The sequence below is a fragment of the Homo sapiens genome, chromosome 20, assembly GCF_000001405.40.
Source record: "Homo sapiens chromosome 20, GRCh38.p14 Primary Assembly".
Classification (NCBI taxonomy): Eukaryota; Metazoa; Chordata; class Mammalia; order Primates; family Hominidae; genus Homo; species Homo sapiens.
In genome coordinates this window covers 57,932,212-57,933,987 of record NC_000020.11, presented here as the reverse complement: position 1 = coordinate 57,933,987, position 1,776 = coordinate 57,932,212, and positions in this window count along the sequence as shown.

Below are 1,776 nucleotides of genomic sequence, written 5' to 3'. Positions count from 1 at the left end.
TACACTACTAGAAACAGGGCATTTATCCTGACGTGCCCCAGGCTTGCTTCTGTTGACTCCACACCCCTGTTCCCACTAACCAGAGCTGAACTGGAAAGCTGTTTTCCCGGGAGAAGAATGGCCTCCCTGAGTGGGATATTGGGACTGAGTGCTGCAAACGGGTTTTAGATCAAGGGACACAACAGGACAGTGACAGAGCCTCCACCTTGGGTTTTTAGAGGAACTTTCTCCTGAGATCTCAAGAAACCACCCAGGACCACCTAGGACTAACTCAGGAGAAGGGCCTGTAAGGGAGAGAGGTGAAGGCATGTGGCTACCTTAGCTGGGCATCTCTACTATAAGTGCCCACACGCTGGCCAGAGCGCAGGCCTGTGGCCCTCTCCAAATCACAGTGAGGCTTTTGGAGACCAAGGGGCTCAGGTGCCCAGCACCCAAGGGGTCAGTAAGGTATCAGGCCCTGGAACTCCAGCACATTCTCTGTTAGTGATGATTCTCTGAGGATGAAAGAAGGAAAGAATATTTTTATGATATTGTGAAATATATACTTCAACTCCATTTCCTGGAATATAACTCCTGACATCCTTAGGAACTCCAAAGCGTTATCTTTTCATCTGCTAATGAGTTGACTGGTGGCTGGCAGCCCCTAGGTAGCGTCAGGATGGGGTTGGTCACAAGAAAGATACCAAGGCAGGATGAGAGAGGTGGGACTTTCAGCTCACTCCCAGGCAGGGGAGAGGGGCTGAGGGTTAAGTGGCTCACCGGTGGCCAATGATTTCATCAATCATGCATATGTAATGAAGCTTCTCTAAAAACCCAAAAGGACAGGGCTCGGGGAGCTTCTGGATAGCTGACCATGTAGAGACTTGCAGAAAGGTGAACAAGAAGCATCCTTAAGCCAGAGGAGTGGCGCCTCCCAACTCCTTGGGGCCAGAAGGCCCTGCACTCAGGATGCTTCCAGCCCTTGCCCTGCGTGCCTCTTCGTCCAGCTGTTCATTTGTATTCTTTAAATTATCCTTTGTCATCAACTGGTAAACATGCATTTCCCTGAGTTCTGTGAGCCTGTCTAGGAAATAAATTAAGCTTGAGGGGAAGGTTTTGAGAACCCCGATTTACAGGTCAGAAGTGAAGGGGCTTGCACTTCGTGCTGAAATGATGGAGGCAGCTTCAGGGACAGAACCCTCCACCTGTGGGATCTGACACTATCTCTGCAGAATGGAATTAGGGGACACCCAGCTGGCATCACTGCAGAATTGATTGCTTGCTTGCTGGTGGGAAGAAACCCCCACACATTTGCTCACGGAAGTTTTCTGTGTTGCTTGTTGTGGTGTGAGAGCAGAGGAAGATCAGTTTGTGGTTTTAATTTGTTTGTACTCACATCTGAATGGAAGGCTCGCATGGGACCACCGGCGCTACTACAGGACATGGTTTCATCATCATTCCCGTTTCACGGATGAGGAGACACAGCCCGTGCAGGCATTGCAGGTGCTCCGCTCAGACCACCTTCAAGCCCCTTGACCCCTCTGCTCACCCACCTGGCGTCCACATGCCTTTGCCTCTAACCGCCTGCCCCTGTACCTCTTGGGAGATGCCCCCTTCTCCTGGAGCCTGGAGAGAGCGGAGGATCTTACACGGCCCCTGCTTCCCATGGCGGTTGTGCCCAGTGATTGCCCGAGCTCCCTGGATTGGAGTGAGGACAAACTCACAGGTGCCACTGACATGAAAATTGAGAGAGAGCCTGGCAGCTCGAGAGGCTGTGGGCGCTCCCTGGAGGGGTTG